Raw genomic sequence first — 18,115 nt, forward strand, 5'->3', positions numbered from 1 at the left:
AAGACACAAGGGGCAGTGAGCCTGCATGCTTTCCCATAATCAAGCTCATTTTCTCTTTTTCTAATGTTGGAAGAGGGATTTAAAAGACTAATCTAAGAGACTGTTCTAAAGCTTCTCAGTTAAACAACCCCAGAGTCGATATTCATATCCAGGCCAGACCAAAACCCCAGAGGATTTCCCACTACTCCTGATGTGCACCCACTTCTCGCTGGCTTTACACAAGAGAGGTGTTTATGGAAACTTTAGCCATGCTTCTAAGCTCTACCTTCTTGCTTCCTGAATTGTTTGCAAGTTTTCCATTCAACAGGACAACACAAACAGACTTTCAGCGACGGATTTACTTTTCTTTGCAAATTTTATTTTAGGTTCGGCAGGTACATGTGCAGGTTTGTTACATGTGTAAATTAAGTGTTTTTGAAGTTTGGTGTACAGATTGTTTTGTCACCTATGTAATAAGAATAGTGCTTGATAGGTGGTTTTTTGAACCTCACCCTCGTCACACCCTCCACCTTTAAGTGGGACTCGGGATCTGTTTTCTTCTTTGCGTACATGTGTACTCAATGTTTAGCTCCCACTTATTAGTGAGAATGTATATATTTGGTTTTTTATTCCTGTATTAATTCACTTAGGAAAATGGCCTTCAATTGCAACCATGCTGCAAAGGACACGATCTTGTTCTTTTTATGGCTGTGTAGTATTCCATGGTGTATATGTACCATGTTGTCTTTGTTGTCATGAGGTATATGTACCATGGTTGTCTCCATGTCTTTGCCATTGTAAATGGGGTGCTGTAATTAACATACACGTGCATGTGCCTTTATGGTAGAACAATTTATATATTCCTTTGGGAACATACCCAAAAATGGGATTGCTGAGTTGAATGGTAGTTCTACTTTAAGTTCTTTGAGAAATCTCCAAACTGCTTTCGACAGTGGCTAAACTAATTTACAATCCCAATAGCAGTGTAAAAGTGTTCCCTTTTTTCTGCAACCTCATCAGCATCTGTTATTTTTTGACTTTTTAATAATAGCCATTCTGACTGGTGTGAGATAGTATGCTATTGTGGTTTTTATTTGCATTTCTCTAATCATTAGTGATGTTGAACATTTTTTTCATATTCTTGTTGGCCATGTGTATGTCTTCTTTGAAGAAGTCTCTGTTCTTGTCCTTTGCCCATTTTTAAAAATGCGGTTGTTTGGTTTTTGCTTGTTAATTTGTTTAAGTTCCCTATAGACTTTGATATTAGACCTTTGTCATATAGTTTGAAAATATTTGCTCTCATTCTGTGTGTTGTCTGTTTACTTTGTTGATAGTTTCTTTTGCTATGCAGAAGCCCTTTAGCTTAATTAAACCCCATTTGTCAATTTTTGTTTTTACTACAATTGCTTTTGGCAATTTCATCATGAAATCTTAGCCAGGGCTTAAGTGCAGAGTGATATTTCCTAGGTTTTCTTCTAGGGCTTTTATAGTTTTAAATTATATATTTAAGTCTTTAATCCAATTTAATATTTTTTTAATATGGTGAAAGAAAGGAGTCCAGTTTCAATCTTCTGCATATGGCTAGCCTGTTATCCCAGCACCATTTATTGAGTATGGAGTCTTTCCCCCTTGCTTATCTTTGTCAACTTTACTGAAAATCAGATGGTTGTAGGTGTGCAGCTTTATTTCTGTGTTCTCTATTCTGTTACATTAGTCTATGTGTCTGTTTTGGTGTCAGAAACATGTTTTGGTTACTGTAGCCCTGTAGTACAGTTTGATATCAGGTAATGTGATTCCTCTGGCTTTTTTTTTTTTTTCCTTAGGATTTCTTAGGCTATTTGAGCTTTATTTTGTTTCCATATAATTTAAAAAAATTTTTTTTTCTAATGCTGTGAAAAATGTCATTGGTAGTTTGATAGGAATAGCACTGAATCCATAAATTGCTTTGGGCAGCATGGCTATTTTAACAATAATAATTCTATCCATGAGCATGGAAAGGTTTTCATTTGTTTGTGTCATCTCTGATTTCTTTCAACAGTGTTTTGTAATTCTCATTGTACAGATCTTTCACCTCCCTGGTTAGCTATACTTATAGGTGTGTAGAAATGCTACTGATTCTTGTACATGTATTTTGTATCCTGAAAGTTTGCTGAAGTTGTTTATCAGATCTAGGAGCTTTGGAGAAGACAGTATGGAGTTTTCTAAGTATAAAATCATATAATCAGCAAAGAGAGATAGTTTGACTTCCTCTCTTCTTATTTGGATGCCTTTTATTTCTTTATTTTGCCTGATTGCTCTGACCAGGACTTCCAGTACAATGGTGAATAAGAGTACAGAGAGTCTTGTTTTGGTCCTCAAGGGGAACACTTTGGGCTTTTGCCAGTTTAGTACAAAGTTGAGTGTGAGTTTTGATTCTTTCTATCCATGAACATGGAAAGTTTTTCCATTTGTTTATGTCATCTCTGATTTCTTTCAGTAGTGTACTTTAATTCTCACTGTAGAGATATTTCACCTTTCTGGTTAGCTGTATTCCTACATAACTTATCAATATAGATGGCTCTTATTATTTTGAGCTATGTTCCTTCAATTCCTAGTTTTTTGATGATTTTCAACATGAAGGGATGTTGAGCCTTATCCAACGTGTTTTCCTCATGTATTGAGATGATCGTATGATTTTTGTTTTTAATTCTGTTGATGTGATGAATCACATTTATTGACGTGTGTATATTGAACCAATCTTGTATCCCAGTAATAAAGCCTACTTGATCATGGTGGATTAGCTTTTTGATGTGTTGCTGGATTCATTTTGCTAGTATATTGCTGATGATTTTTGCATCTATGTTTATCAGGGATATTGACCTGAAGTTTTTTTTCTTTTTTCTTTCTTTTTTGTTTTGTCTCTGCTAGGTTTTGGTATCAGAATTATGCTGAGTTAGGGACGAGTTTCTCCTCTTCAATTTTTTGTAATAGTTGCAGTAGAATTGATACCAGCTTTACTTAGGACATCTGGTAGAATTCAGATGTGAATTTTTCTGGTCCTGGGCTTTTTCTGGTTGGTAGGCTTTTTATTTTTGATTCGGTTTCAGAACTCATTGTTGGTCTGTTCATGGTTTCATTTTTTCCTGGTGCAATCTTGAGAGGTTGTAAGTTTTCTACATTTTATCTATTTATTGTAGGTTTTCTAGTTTGTATGCATAGAGGTGTTCATAATAGTCTCTGAGGATTTTTTGTATTTCTTTGGCATTGGTGGTAATGTTCCCTTTGACTTTTCTGATTGTGTTTCTTTGGATGTTCTCTCTTTTTTCCTTTGTTAGCCTAGCTAGTGCTGTATAAATCTTATTTATTCTTTTAACATACTGACTTTTGGTTTTGGTGACCTTTTGTATGGTTTTTCACAACTCCATTTCACTCTGATTTTGGTGATTTATTTTCTTCTGCTAGCTTTAGGATGTGTTTGCTCTTTTTTTTTTCTATTTTCTCTAGGCTTAATGTTAGATTCTTAATTTGAAATCCTTCTAACTTTTTGATGTGGGCATTTGGTGCTATAAAATTTCTTCTTAACACTGCTTTAGCTGTGCCCCTGAAATTCTGGTATGTTTTATCACTGTTTTCATTACTTTCAAATAATTTGTTAATTTCTCCCTTAACTTGTTTACCCAAAGGTCATTCAGAAGCAGGTTGTTTAATTTTCATGTAATTATATGGTTTAGTGAGATTTTCTTAGTATTGATTTCTATTTTTATTATGCTGTGATCTGACAGTGTGGTTGGTATGAGTTTGGTTTTTATGAATTTGTTGCGAATTGTTTTATGACAGATTGTATGGTTAATTTTAGAGTATGTGCCATATGCAGATGAAAAGAATGTATATTTCGTTGTTGTCGAGTGGAGTGTTCTGTAGATGCCTGTTAGATCCATTTGGTCAAGTGCCGAGTTCAGGTCTTTAATATCATTGTTAGTTTTCTGACTCAGTAATCTGTCTAATACTGTCAATGAGGTCTTGAAGTCTCCCAATATTGTTGTGTGTTTATCTAAGTCTCTTTGTAGTCTTTAAGATCTTGTTTAATCAACTTGGGTAATCCAGTGTTGGGTGCATACATATTCATACATATTGTACTTTTTATCATTATGTAATGCTCTTCCTTGTCTTCTTACACTGTTGATTTAAAGTCTGTTTTGTCTGAAATTAGTATAGCAACCCCTGTTCTTTTTTTTTTTTTGTTTTCCATTTGCTTGGTAGATTTATCTCCATCCATTTACTTTAAGCCTATCAATGTCATTGCATGTGAGATAATCTCTTGAAGACAGAATACAGCTGGGTCTTGCTCCTTTCTCCATTTGACCACTATGTGTGCCTTTTAAGTGGGGCATTTAGCCCAGTTATGTTTAAGGTTAATATTGATATGTGCAGATTTGATCCTGTCATCATGTTGTTAGCTGGTTGCTATGCAGATTTTATTGTATAGCTGATCATAGTGTCAATGATCTATATACTTAAGTGTGTTTTTGTGGTGGCCAGTAACAGTTTTTTATTTCCATGTTTAGCACTCCTTTAAAACATTTTATAAGGCAGGTCTTTCCCCAGTGATAGTAGAATAGATGGGATCAGGGGTGTTAATCAGGTTAAGTTGTTTCAGGTGTGAGATAGTAATAGGGTTGTAGTGCTTGAGTTTAGGTTGAGTACTAGGAATGCAGTAGTTGTTAGAATAAAATAGATGGCTAGGTTAAAAATGGTAATATTTGGGTTGTATATTAGCACTGCTATTATTCAGCCTATGTGAGTGATTGGGGAGTATGCTAGGATTTTACGTAGTTGTGTTTGATTAAGTCCAGCCTGCCATGATAGATAAAATTGAAAGGGTAAGAATAATATTTATGTTTACTAATGGGGAGATTTGATATGTAATTGAAATGGGGTTAGTTTTTGTCATGTGAGGAGGAGTAGGCTGGGTATTAGCGGGGGTTCCTTGAGTAACTTCTGGGACTCAGAAGTGGAAGGGGGCTATTCCTAATTTTATTACAAGGGCTATTATTATTATTAAAGATGAATATTGGTTAGTGGTGTTGATTGTGGTTCACTGTCTGGAAAGCAGGTTATTAGAGAGAATGGCTATTATGATGATTATGGATGCAGTTGCTTGTGCGAGGAAATATTTAATAGTGGCCTCTGTGGAATGGGGGTTTTGGTGGTAATGAATTCCCATAGCATCTGCTTATCTGAAAAGGATCTCATTTCCTCTTTTGCCTATGAAGCTTAGTTTGGCTGGATATGAAATTCTTAGTTGGGAATTCCTTTTTTAAAAGAATGCTGAATATAGGCTCTCAATCTCTTCTGGTTTGTATGGTTTCTGCTGAAACGTCTACTGTTAACCTAAAGATGTTCTCTCTGTAAGCAACCTCCCCCTTCTGTCTAGCTACATTTAATATTGTCTTTCACTTTGCCCTTGGAGAATCTGATGACTATGTTTCTTCAGGATAATCATCTTGTATAGTATCTCACGGGAGTTCTCTGCATTTCCTGAAAATGAATGTTGACCTCTTCAGTGAGGTTGAGAACATTTTCACGGACAATATCTTCAAATATGTTTTCCAAGTTGCTTGTTCTCTCTCCCTCTCTTTCAGGGATGCCAATGAATCATATGTTTGGTCTTTTTACATAATCCTATATTTCTTGGAGGTTTTATTATTTTTTATTCTTTCTGTTTTTTTTTTTAATTTTCTGACTGAGTTGATTTGAAGAACTGGTCTTCAGGCTGTAAGAATTCTTTCCTCAACTTGGTCTATTCTTCTATTGATACTTCCAATTGTATTATAAAATTATTTTAATGAGTTATTTGGCTCTATCAGAACAGTTTTGTTCTTTCTTTAAAAATGGCTGTTTAGTATTTCAGCTCTTGTATTATTTTATTGGATTCCTTAGATTTCTTGGGTTGGATTTTGACTTTTTCCTGAATCTCAATGATCTTGATTCCTATCTAGATTCTGAATCCTATGTCTGTCACTTCAGCTATTTCAGCCTAATTAAGAACCATTTCTGGAAAACTAAGTGTGGTAATTTGAATTTGAAGGTAGGAAAATACTGTGACTTTGAGTCGTCAGAGTTCTTACACTGGTCCTTTCCCATCTGTGTAAGCTGGTGTTCATTTAATCTTTGAAGTTGCTTTCCTTTAGATAAGGTTTTTTTTTTTCTTCTTGTATATTCTTTGATGCACTTGGAGGCTTGACTGTGGCATAAGGTGGGTTTAGTAAACTGGCTTTTTTCTGGATAACTTCAGCAGGACAAGGCTTAGCTCATCACTTCTGGTCTGCATGCTCTCACCCTGGGGGACTGGTATCAGGTGCATGGCTTTGTTCTCTGGCCCCTCAAGGTTCAGGACCTGCTGTGCTGCAGGGCCCAAGGTGTTCCCAGTCCATTTGCAACACCACTGTGATGGGGGATGCTGGTCAAAGTACTTCACATGGACAGCGGTAGTGGGATTTGCTCTCATATACATGTGTCATCAGTGATGGCAGTGCAGCAGGATGTGTGCACATTAGTGAGGGCAAGGCACCAGTGGGGGCTTGACTGTCACTTTTTTTTTTTGTAGATGCAAGGTCTCACTCTGTCACCCAGGCTGGTCTCAAATTCCTGGCCTCAAGCAGTCTTCCTGCCTCCCCAGGTGATGAGATTACAGATGTGAGCCACCACTCCCAGTGCTTCAGCAGACTAATTTTCATTCTTAACTCCTAAACACAGTTTTCACTGTGGAGACACTATCTGGCGACTTTCAAGCAATTTCTTATTAATGGGTAGAATCGAACTAAACTAGAGTTAGTTAAGGTAGTCCGGTTCATAGTCCCCCACCTAGAGGGAGAGGTATGCTATATTCTAAAATCTCAGCTATCCAGAACCAAGCCGAGTATGCCTAAGAGAACAAACACTGGCCTTAAAATTAGAGTTAGAATCCATGTGACAACATTTATTAATTACATTTTTTAAGGAGGTTATCAGGCTCATATTCAAATTCTATTCACTCATTCTTTACCAAGATGTATAACATGCTAGACTGTCAGTGTTGCAGGATGACAGCTTGCAAGTAGAGGGACCAATTGCCCCTAATGTCCCTAATTGAAGGGTTCCACAGGAGTTGGGGACTGTAGAACGAAAACTAGGAAAGCCTGGGGCAAGCAGAAGCCAGCCACCCTATTTCAAACCATCTTCAAGACTAACAGCAGTTGATAGATGTGGACAGAGAAAGATGCTACAACAGAACAAGCCAAAAACTGATCTTCCAGAAAGAGTCAACAAAACAAGTAAAGTTAAGGACATGATAATTTCAAGCACTGCAATTGGGTCATTTAGTGCAAGAGAAAATAAGCTTTCATGCTTCACACCCATGAGGATATCTAAAATTATAGCACAGCACAAAAATGGATATGATTTTAGTTTAAAAAGTAGAGAAATATGAAGTTTATTTATAAAGTTTTCATTTCAATAACTAACCAAATGTAGTTGCTTTATTAAAAGGACAGCTTTTAGTTATTTGCAAAATTGTCTCTTAGGAAATAGCACATTTTCCAGTGTTGTTGGACAAATGAGAGGCAACTGTAATATAATATGCTAGAGGCCATCTGCACCTAAACTGCTATTCTAAGCTTTGAAAAAAGTGGTAATTTGTTCAGGCTTCTACTAATTTGGGCACTAGAGGGATAATTGGTTAAGTAATATCCTTGTAGTAGAAAAAAGAAAGAAAAATATATCTCTGCGCTTTCAAGAATGTCTTATGGGCAATTCAGGTGTCATTTGCTCATCAATAAAATCTACACCAGCATATGACTTAAAAGCAAAAAATGGTGATTCGATCTGGTGAAAGATAGATAGGCACAGATCTTTACTGTGAGAATATGTAATCTGTAGGTTCTAAAATTAGGGCAGAGTCTAATTTTAATTTTTTACAACAAATTTATTTTTGTCAAAATAAATTTTTTAAACATGTCTTAAAGTCTTTAGAATATTTGGAATAAAATATTTTCAGCTCTGTTAATAATTTCACATGTAATAATGACATTCCAATATCAATTTATAATTTAAAAGACACATCAGATACTTCACTTCAAACCCAATAATGCTACAATAGAAATATTAACTCTGTTGTATAAATGCAGACAATTACTCTTAGAAAGAGGAATAAATTATTTAGTACCTACTGCATTTTACAATGCATTATTTTATTTAATCCTTTTAGTAACCTGACACAGAAGGAATCACTAATGCCATTTACAAATGAGGAAACTCACGCTTAGGTAAATTTGTTTCTTGGCTTTTCAAAATCCAAAATCTATATTTCCCCTCTGCATTTCTATATTTCCAAATAACTTGCTAAGAAACACTCAGCAAACCAGTAGATTTCAAACAGCTCCATCACTCAGCCTGGGGTTCTTTCTGATAAATTAAAAAAAACTAACTTAGCTGTTATTACTTTTTAATGATAATAAGCAAGCATTGACTTCTAATGAAACTAAACAAACAATAAAAATCTCGAATTTGGTTCTATACAGTAAAATTTACAGTTGAATAAACTGGCTTATGTAAGCTGTAAATTAATATGTAATAAACAGTTTACCAGAATAGCCTGGTTTCTCAAATGTATCACCCTTAAATTAGTCAAAATGGCTATTAGAGTTGCATTTTATCTGTTATCATGTAATAATATGCAAATATTTATTTTATCCTCTTAATAAATACATATTGAGTATCAACTATATGCCAGGATTATCTAAAACTGAGATTTGAAGGTAAGCAAACATAGCCCAGCGCCGAAAGCTCTCACAATTTAGGTGAGTGTGGTTCCAAATTGCTGGCTCCATCTGTTTATGTTAAGAATCATTGAATTTTAAAAGTGACCACATATGCAGCCCTAGCTAAATACAAATGATGGTCAAACGCAGGGGAGCAGATCTACAATTTGGAGACAGTCATGACAAAATTTAGCTACAGCCAGTTTTATGTGAAACAACAATAATAAAAAAGATGGCTATGTGATAATTCTGCTGGGCACTTTATGCATCATTTCATGGTTGCAAATCTGTAAAAGACATATTATCACCATGTTACAGGAGACAGAGATTGCACAGATGCTAAGTAGTGGAGATAGGTTTTGAATGACAGACATTGACAAGAGATTATTATAATACCATGGGATAAGACTTATGATAAAGTTATGCAAAAATTGGTGTGAGTGTAGAATACAGGATACATGATTAATTCAATAAAAGGCCTATTTCCAGAAGACTTATACTGTCTATGGTAGAGACCAAATTTTGCTCATAGGTCAAATGTGGAGATATGTCAGTGAGCAAATTAGTATAGCCATTGTTAAATCACTGTACTGTTCATTGATAAAACTGTCTGTTACAATGGCAGAATTACCTAAAGTTTAAACTGAGGACATCTCTCTATAGTTCACTGATAAATAATCCCAATCTGGGTTTAGTCCTAAACACCAAACCAGGAGCACATTAGACAATAATTATTAGTACTTAGGTCTTGAGAACTATACTTCATGACTTTGGTCAATATCAAAAATTTACTTTTTCTGTTAAAATAAACTCAGTAAGCTGTGTGTGGTGGTGCACTCCTATAGTCCCAGCTATTCTAGAGGCTGAGGTAAGAAGATTGCTTGAGCCCGGGAGTTAAAGGCTGCAGCAAGCTATGATGGTACCACTGCATTCCAGCCCAGGTGGCATAGCAAACCCTCATCTCTTAAAAAAATTTAAAAGTCTCAAATCAGTACTGACAGTCTTATTAGTTTGAAATAATTCTGAATTATACTTTGAGTCTGGGAAATCTAATTCTAGCCATCCCAGAGATTAAATCAACTCATTGGAATTTGGACTGTGCAGACTGAACACCTAAATTGAGAAGCTAATGCTACTTAGTTGGGGAATTGTGTTTCATTAAAAATGCTATTCCGGTCAATGTTGTTACATAGTGGCCTCTCAAAAATATGGTGCAAATGAATGACTATTAATGTTACTACTTTATGTTACTACTTTTGCTGTAATGTTACTATTTTTCTATGGCTGTGGAAAATTATTCCAGCACCTTGAATTTTTGTTGAAGAGTTTATGATTTGTCAAGCACTTTTTTTTTTTTTTTTTTTTTTTTGAGACGGAGTCTCGCTCTGTCACCCAGGCTGGAGTGCAGTGGCGCAGTCTCGGCTCACTGCAAGCTCCGCCTCCCGGGTTCACGCCATTCTCCTGCCTCAGCCTCTCCGAGTAGCTGGGACTACAGGTGCCCGCCACCACGCCCGGCTAATTTTTTTTGTATTTTTAGTAGAGACGGGGTTTCACCGTGGTCTCACTCTCCTGACTTCGTGATCCACCCGCCTCGGCCTCCCAAAGTGCTGGGATTACATGCGTGAGCCACCGCGCCCGGCCTGATTTGTCAAGTACTTTTAAGTCCCTAAAGCATATATGCTCAATGAAGACAGGGACTTGTACGCTTTGTCAATGCTTATATTTCCAATACCTAGAACACAGAAGGCATTTACTGAATATTTATTACTTACCTAATATAGAACATAGAAAGCACTTACCTAATATTTATTACTGCACTATGCACATAATAGATGCCCCATTAATATTTGCTAAATGAATTACCATATGTCCTTGCAATGCACTTCTTTCAATTTATAAATTTGGGTCAAGTGGATTTTTTTTTCTAATTTCCCTCTCTTTACTAATTATCACAAGAGGACAAGGAGAGAGCTGTGGAAATGTTCATTTTATGAATTCACCTTAAAGGCTAGAACTTTCAGATAAATTTAATCAACACTGTTATTCTTTAAAATAACAATTCTTATTTTCACAAAGTAAATAAAATTTCTCTCCACATTGAGTGTAATATATGAATGAGACATCTGAGAAGAAATGGAAATAACATATTTGCTGAAACCCAGGTTGATTAAAGTTAGGTGAGTGCAAAAGTAATTGCAATTTTTGCATTGTTAGAATTTGCCATTTGATATTGTTGTACATTCTTAAACAAATGTGGTTATGTTATATATCATTTTAATGGGCATTTCTTGTTTTATGTTTTTTTGTGAATGACTTAGTACTTGCTGTTTATGTTTATTTTAGACTATGGAAATGATGTTAGACAAAAAGGAAATTCAAGCGATTTTCTTATTCTGGTTCAAAATGGGTAGTGAAGCAGCTGAGACAACTCACATCAACAACGCATTTGGCCCAGGAACTGCTAACAAATGTACGGTGCAGTGGTGGTTCAAGACATTTTGCAAAGGAGACAACAGCCTCAAAGATGAGGAGTGAGTGGCCGGCCATCGGAAGTTGACAACAACCAATTGAGAGCAATCACAGAAGTTGATCCTCTTACAACTACACGAGAAGTTGCCGAAGAACTCAACAATGACCATTCTGCAGTCGTTCGGCATTTGAAGCAAATTGGAAAGGTTTTGAAAAAGCTCTATAAGTGGGTGCCTCATGAACTGAGCAAAACTAAAAAAAAAAAAAAAAAAAAAAAAACACTTTGAAGTGTCATCTTTTTTTATTCTACACAACACAGAGCCATTTCTCCATCCAGTTGTGATGTGCAGCAAAAAGTGGACTTTATACAACAACTGGCGACTACCAACTCAGTGGTTGGGCCGGGAAGAAGCCCCAAAGCCCTTTCTAAAGCTAAACTTGCACCAAAAAAAAGTGATAGTCACTGTTTGGTGGTCTGCTGCCAGTCCGATCCACTACAGATTTCTGAATCCTGGTGAAACCATTACATCTGAGAAGTATGCTCAGCAAATCGAGGAGATGCACCAAAAACTGCAACACCTGAAGCCAACATTGGTCAACAGAAAGGGCCCAATTCTTCTCCATGGCAACACCTGACCGCACATCAGTTCTTCTTCAAAAGTTGCATGAATTGGGCTACGTAGTTTTGCTTCATCTGTCATATTCACCTGACCTGTCACCAACTGACTACCACTCTTCAAGAATCTCGACAACTTTTTTTTAGGGAAAATGCTTCCACAACCAGCAGGGTGCAGAAAATGCTTTCCAAGAGTTTGTCAAATCCCAGAGCATGGATTTTTACCCTAAAGAATTAAACAAACTTATTTCTCATCAGCAAAAGTATGTTGATTGTAATGGTTCCTATTTTGATTAATGAAGATGTGTTTGAGCCTAGTTATAATGATTTAAAATTCATGGTGTGTAACCACAATTACTTTTGCACCAACCTAATATTACTTTTTTTTAAAGAAGTATTTACTTAGGTGTGATTTTTTTGTTATTTGTTTTGTTTTGTTTTTGACAGCCTCTGTTGCCCACACTGGAATGCAATGCTGTGATGCAAGCTCACCGCAGTCTCGAACTCTTGGACTCAAGCCATCAGCTCGCCTCTGCCTCTTGTGTAGCTAGGACCACAAGCATGAATGAGTACAACTTGCCCCTACATTTATTACTTGAATGATTTTCTCAAGCTAGCCATGCCAACAGGCTTTGTTAGTACCATTTTATAGAAAAACGTGGGATTCAGTGTTTTGCTCAGAGTAATTGATGAAATTGGTGGAAAAGCTACCTGGGCTCAATCTAGCTTAAAGTTCTATGCCCTTTGCATTATGTTCCTATTCTTTCTACAAATAACGTTATGATTCTAAAAAGTTCAGGGAGATGGGCAAATAGGTTTGCCTTAATCTTAAGAACCTGCTACGTGCTGGTGGTCCATCAGTGAACAAAATGGACAAAGGTTGTGCTCTTTTAATCAAGTTATAGATGAAACAAACTTAAAAGCCAGTGCTGGAGATAAGAGATGATTAAGCAAACACAAAAATAAACATATCATTAACCTTGGGTGGATCACAATGGAGGAAATGACCAATGCAAGAATAGAAAACAACACAGGGGCCTGCTTAGACAATGAGCATCCTGTCAGTCATAGTCCCTGTACAACTCTGAACAAGCAAAATGTGAGAATTAAACATTGTATCCACTTCCTGCTCTCAAGTTAGTTACATTTTGAAAAAATTATCAAGATTCTTTCATATTCAGTTTCTTTATCAGAAAGATAGAATTCATCTTTTGAAGATATTTTGAGGTTAGATAATTTTGGTTGTGAAAATGCTACACACTCAGACACACATTAGGGCTTTATTATAAATGGTTAAAACACGACCTACAGAAACTAGGCAAAGTACTCAAAATATAAAGATAAATAAGTTGAAATTCTTACTCTTGGTTAAAGGGTAAAACATATCCATAATTAGAAAATTACATTCTGCCAAGTAAAATATAGATAAACATAGAGGAGAAACATCTAACACATTAAACCTTACTGGAGGATATGACATTCCTCCCTGGAGGATATGACATTCCTCCAACGTGGCAAAAAGATTCCTGGTAGAACAGCAGAGACAGAAAGATGGAGATGGGACACAGCATTGGTTTCTGGAAGTTAAGTGTGGACCAGTGCTGGAAGTACTTGGAAGAAGTAAAAGGGATGGATAATGGACAACTTTTCACGCTTCCCTGTTATCTCATTTAATTTTCTCCACTTATAAGAAGACCAGCTTCACATGTTATCATGGCTATTTCACAGATTAGAAAACTTTTGAGCAACAGTAACAACAATAAAAAAGAACACTAGATTCTAAGAAGATAGATCTGAATACTTCAGATTAAAGAGTAAATAACTGGAGGTGAGGTTGAGAATGGGAAGAAAGCAGAAATACAAAATAATAGAGTGATGATCACATCCCATGGAAAAGGAGAGAGACTGGGCTGATGGCCGGAGAGGTATATGGTCAAGGGAGATATTTTGCTTTATTTCATTTACATATGTCTTTATACTGAAGCTTAAAGCAAGGAGGAAATAGAAGGTACTGAAGAAAAATAATGATTAGGAGAAGAGACTAGAAAATAAGAGAGGTAAGGAGCAGAGGTGAAGTTATTACCCTTAATGCTAATAAGTTCGTCAGTGTGTATTAAGTATTTACTATGTATGAGAATCTGTTGTAAGTGCATTAACATGTTTATGAGGTATATACCATTTTTACACAACTTTAAAAAAGAGAAAACTAATGTACAGTAAAGGTAAAATAATTGTCTCAATATTACTGAGCTGGTTAATGCTGTAAATGGGACTCAATCACACACCACTAAGCTCTATGAAAGTAAAGGAAGAAAAATATTACTCAGTTTGTAATTTGTGACATTGCCATGACCACACACTATATATAATATTCGTTCATCAAATCTAGATACTATAGTGACATAGTTTAGATCTAATTAACAAGAGTGTGTTGAAAGCAAAATCTTATTTCCTAAAGTACAATCCCTGTTAATTTTTGTTTTCCTAGCAGAATGAGACAAAGGAAAAGCTAAGATGATTTTTTAAGCACTTCAGTTCTTTCCTCCCAATATATGACTATTTCTATCAAATACAAAGATGTTACGCAATTTGAAAAATATTTTTCAGTTTTGGCATATATCTGCAAAAAGGATGTTATCTTCAAGAATCATACGTCTTTTGAAAAATGTTTCCAAGTGATTGTTCCTGATGCTGCTCTGATCAAAAATCAGGTTTGGATGAATGAAAAGGTTGGTTTCTTTAAACTCAATAAATGTATCCAAATGTTCTGCTCTCTGTCTCTTACTCATGAGGAATCTCGCTAATTTGAGTCCATCTGAATATTTAGAAACTGGAAGTTATCTGTTAGTGTACTGAATTATTTTCAGAAGACTGCTGAATTAAATTATTTAGTAAACCTGATATTATATCAATTAACTATTCAACTAGAATATTAATCCAATCCTTGCTATTTTATTAGTGAGTGCTTATAATTTATTGATCACTAATAATATTATCATGAAATTGTTTTTAAGCACAATTAGGATAAGTTGAAACATATAGGACCTCTTTTCTGGCCATAATAGAATAACACAGTCCAAATTTTTTCATTTCACATGTTCTGCTAGAAAGTATATAAAACAATCATTTTCAGACATTTTGCAATAGGCAGCAAGGTTCTGTGGTTGCTCAGAGAAGGAAAACAACAAGGTAGTCCTTTAGATCACCTGGCATTCTGACTGGAGGCACACCTTGGACCACAGAGCAATAGGAAATAAGGCAAGCATAGCATTCGGGCCTCACTGAATTTAAAGTTACAGAATTTAAAGTTTAAGGAGACCAAAGTTGCTGAGTGCTGCAGTTTTAGAAACAAAAGAGTTAAACAGAAAAAGAGCTCCAGAAATCTATAGAGAAATACTTGCTTGTTGGACACCAAGGGCAAGATTCCATGAAGTAGGGCAAACAGCATGGAGGAACCGTGAGCAAAGTGGTTTCCATAGTCAATTCAGTGCTAGAAAATGTTTGGGTGTCGACCAGCCTGAGTAACAAGTATTCACTGATTACTCAGGACATTCATGAGAGACTCCAGAAGAACCAGGCCTTTTCAGTGAAAGTAAACAACTTACGGAATAAAGACGAGTGTAGATCTGCTCTGACAATGATTAAAGGTAAGCCTAAAAAGATCACACTAAACTGGAACTAATTAAGAGTCTGCCAGAACAAAGCCCAATCCTCATACAATAAAAACAATAAATTTCAGACAATTCACAACAAAATATCACAATATCCAGAATCCAGTCAAAATTACTAGACATGTAAAGAAGCAAAATTAAGTAAATCACGACAAGGAGAAAAAAAACAATAGAAGCAGACAAGGAACTGAGGAAGAACATGAATTCAGAGATAAAGATTTTTAAATAGCTATAAAGTTTTGTTACTATATTATGTTAATTAAAGAAGAGGGAGGAACAAGAAAACACCAAAAAAAAAAAAAAACCCAAATACAACTGCTAGAAATGAAAATATATAATGTATGAAATAAATAGTGGGATTTAAAAAAGTAAGAAGGGACTAATATGAGATCAGGCATGGCAGAAGAAAATATTAGTAAACTTGAAAAAATAGCAATACAAATTATGTTAAAAAGACCACAGGGAGAGTAAAAGGTTTTAAAATATCAACAGGGCATCTGTTAGCAATAGAATAATATCAAATACCCTTATATACAATAAAACTGGAGTTCGAAAAGAAGGGGATGTGAAATAGAATTATTTTAAAATAAATAGCCAACTATTTTCCTAATTTAATGGAATTTATAAACCTATGCTTCTATGAGAAACTCAATGAACCTCAACTGGGATAAATACAAAGAAAATCATACCAATTCATAGTGATCAAATTGCACAAAATTGTTCACAGAAATAAAATTTTATGAGAAGCCAGATACATAATCTGTATTTGCATAAAATACAAATAAGCAGTCATAAGAAACTATGAAAGCCAGAAAAAATAATAAGATAGCTTTAAATTGGTGTATGAAATATTTTCAAGTTAGAATTCTGTATTCAGTTTGTGTGCTGAAGATTAAAGACCCCCACCCACACCCCAGCACACACATATATTGCTGAGAAGACATCCCCATAAAAAGATTAAATAAAAAATTTCAGAAATAACTGAAATGTATATCGTCAATTTGTTGTTGACAAAAATATCAAGTAGAAAAATGAAATAAGAATGAGACTTTTTTCAATACATGGTGTTGAAACAACTGAATATGCATCCATGTGTAGGGAAAAACACCTACCCATCCACACTCATGTGACATATAAAGAAATCTCAATAGATGCTAGTTATCTTCATTATTTTTTCTAACATGTACAATTGGAATAATGGTATTAGTTCAACTGATCAGTCTAACTTCAGTGATGGCAGGCAGGATGTGGCCAAGTGGGTCAGTGAGGAAGGGGAGAGAATTGTTTATGAGATGAATACTGGGAATGCCATTGTAATGCTGTTTAATTTATTTTTTAATTTAGGAAAGAAGACATATTGATCTACTTTTAGCTCAGAATTCATGCAAGAAATAAGTTTTTGTACTAAAATGGTTTTAAAGTGCCCCTCTCTCTGCTAGAGTGAACAGAGAATGCTGAAAGCCACAAGAAAAGGCATTCACCAAAGAGAACAGAGCCAGGAGAGAGCCTCTGGGAAAGAGAAGGCTTTAGAGACATCGTTTTAACTTGGCAGTAAAGCAAACAAGCAACATAGCCACAGGACTGTTGGAGTGCGACAATGTTTTCTCTAGAAATAAACACTCAAGTCTTAAGGATTTGTTTTGAGCAAATGCATAAGAAATAAAACTTTTATTTGAAAAGTAATATGCATGTGTATGTGTGTATAGAGTGTGCCAGGAGAAAAACAGCATCATGAAACACTCTAAGGGTAAATACAAAAAATAAAAAATGATTTTGTTACTTTTATTATGACATCTGAAACATCACTTTCAAACCTTTCAACATAGGTGATGTATCCATCCTACAGTGTCCATGAGCCTTATTTTATTCCTTAGTAAAATAAATCCATCGGATAAAAGGGTCTCTTTAGTTCATCCTAGATTTAGTGGTCGCTATAGCATCTCCCCTTTACTCTGGAAAAAAAATATATATGATCCATTTTCTTTGGAAAGCTTAACCCAATCTCTACAGCACCCTTGACATGAAAAAGAAATGCTATATTGGTTATTTTTGCTTAAAAAAAGGGTTTGTTTAGCATGGAAAAATCTTTGCAGCTTGTGGGGCGATGATCAAGAGAGACAAAATTTTATAATCTCCCTTACAGAGCTCTTCATGGCTGCTATGATCACATATTAAAAGTCCCCCTTACAAAGGCATCTGCCAGATGTTTCATGTGACCCTGACTTTCCTAAGGAAAGAGTGAGGCCATATGAGCTAGATGCCAACCTCATCTAATTCGTTGAAACATAATTCATTTCCAATCAGGATATTAGATGAGAGAGGAAAGAGTGTTTTTATAGACTGCAGAGAAGTAATAGTGGAGGAAATAACTTGAAATAGACTGAGAATTATTTTTGGTCCTAGGAGACTTGGAAGTGAAATATGAGTTCCTTGAAATTGCCCTCAGGTCTTTAGCCTTCTTTAAAGTGTTCTATGGTTCACCAGAAATCCCACTCCTTTTCTTACAACAACTACTAACAATACTACTAGGGTCAGCTTTAGGGCTTTTAGATGTGTTTATAAACACCTGTTAACTGTTGTTCACATGGGGAAACATGGTTCTT

At 35.4% G+C, this 18,115-nt stretch overlaps 2 long non-coding RNA genes and 1 pseudogene across 4 annotated transcripts in view; 1 reads left to right on the forward strand and 2 right to left on the reverse strand.

The window, feature by feature from the left end:
* Positions 1 to 18,115, reverse strand: part of LINC00504 (long intergenic non-protein coding RNA 504) — a 417,705-nt gene that overhangs the window by 30,854 nt on the left and 368,736 nt on the right. The window lies entirely within an intron of this gene.
* Positions 4,546 to 5,161, reverse strand: MTND2P31 (MT-ND2 pseudogene 31; annotated as a pseudogene).
* On the forward strand, positions 12,272 to 17,195 carry LOC105374496 (uncharacterized). 3 transcript variants are annotated; one of them, XR_925421.3, is made up of 3 exons: positions 13,970 to 14,570; positions 15,389 to 15,488; positions 16,857 to 17,195. It is a non-coding gene; the product is annotated as an uncharacterized LOC105374496 (long non-coding RNA). The 3 variants fall into 3 exon arrangements; XR_007058060.1 differs by having other exon boundaries at positions 16,952 to 17,195; XR_007058059.1 differs by having other exon boundaries at positions 12,272 to 15,488.

Source organism: Homo sapiens, chromosome 4, assembly GCF_000001405.40.
Source record: "Homo sapiens chromosome 4, GRCh38.p14 Primary Assembly".
Lineage (NCBI taxonomy): Eukaryota > Metazoa > Chordata > Mammalia > Primates > Hominidae > Homo > Homo sapiens.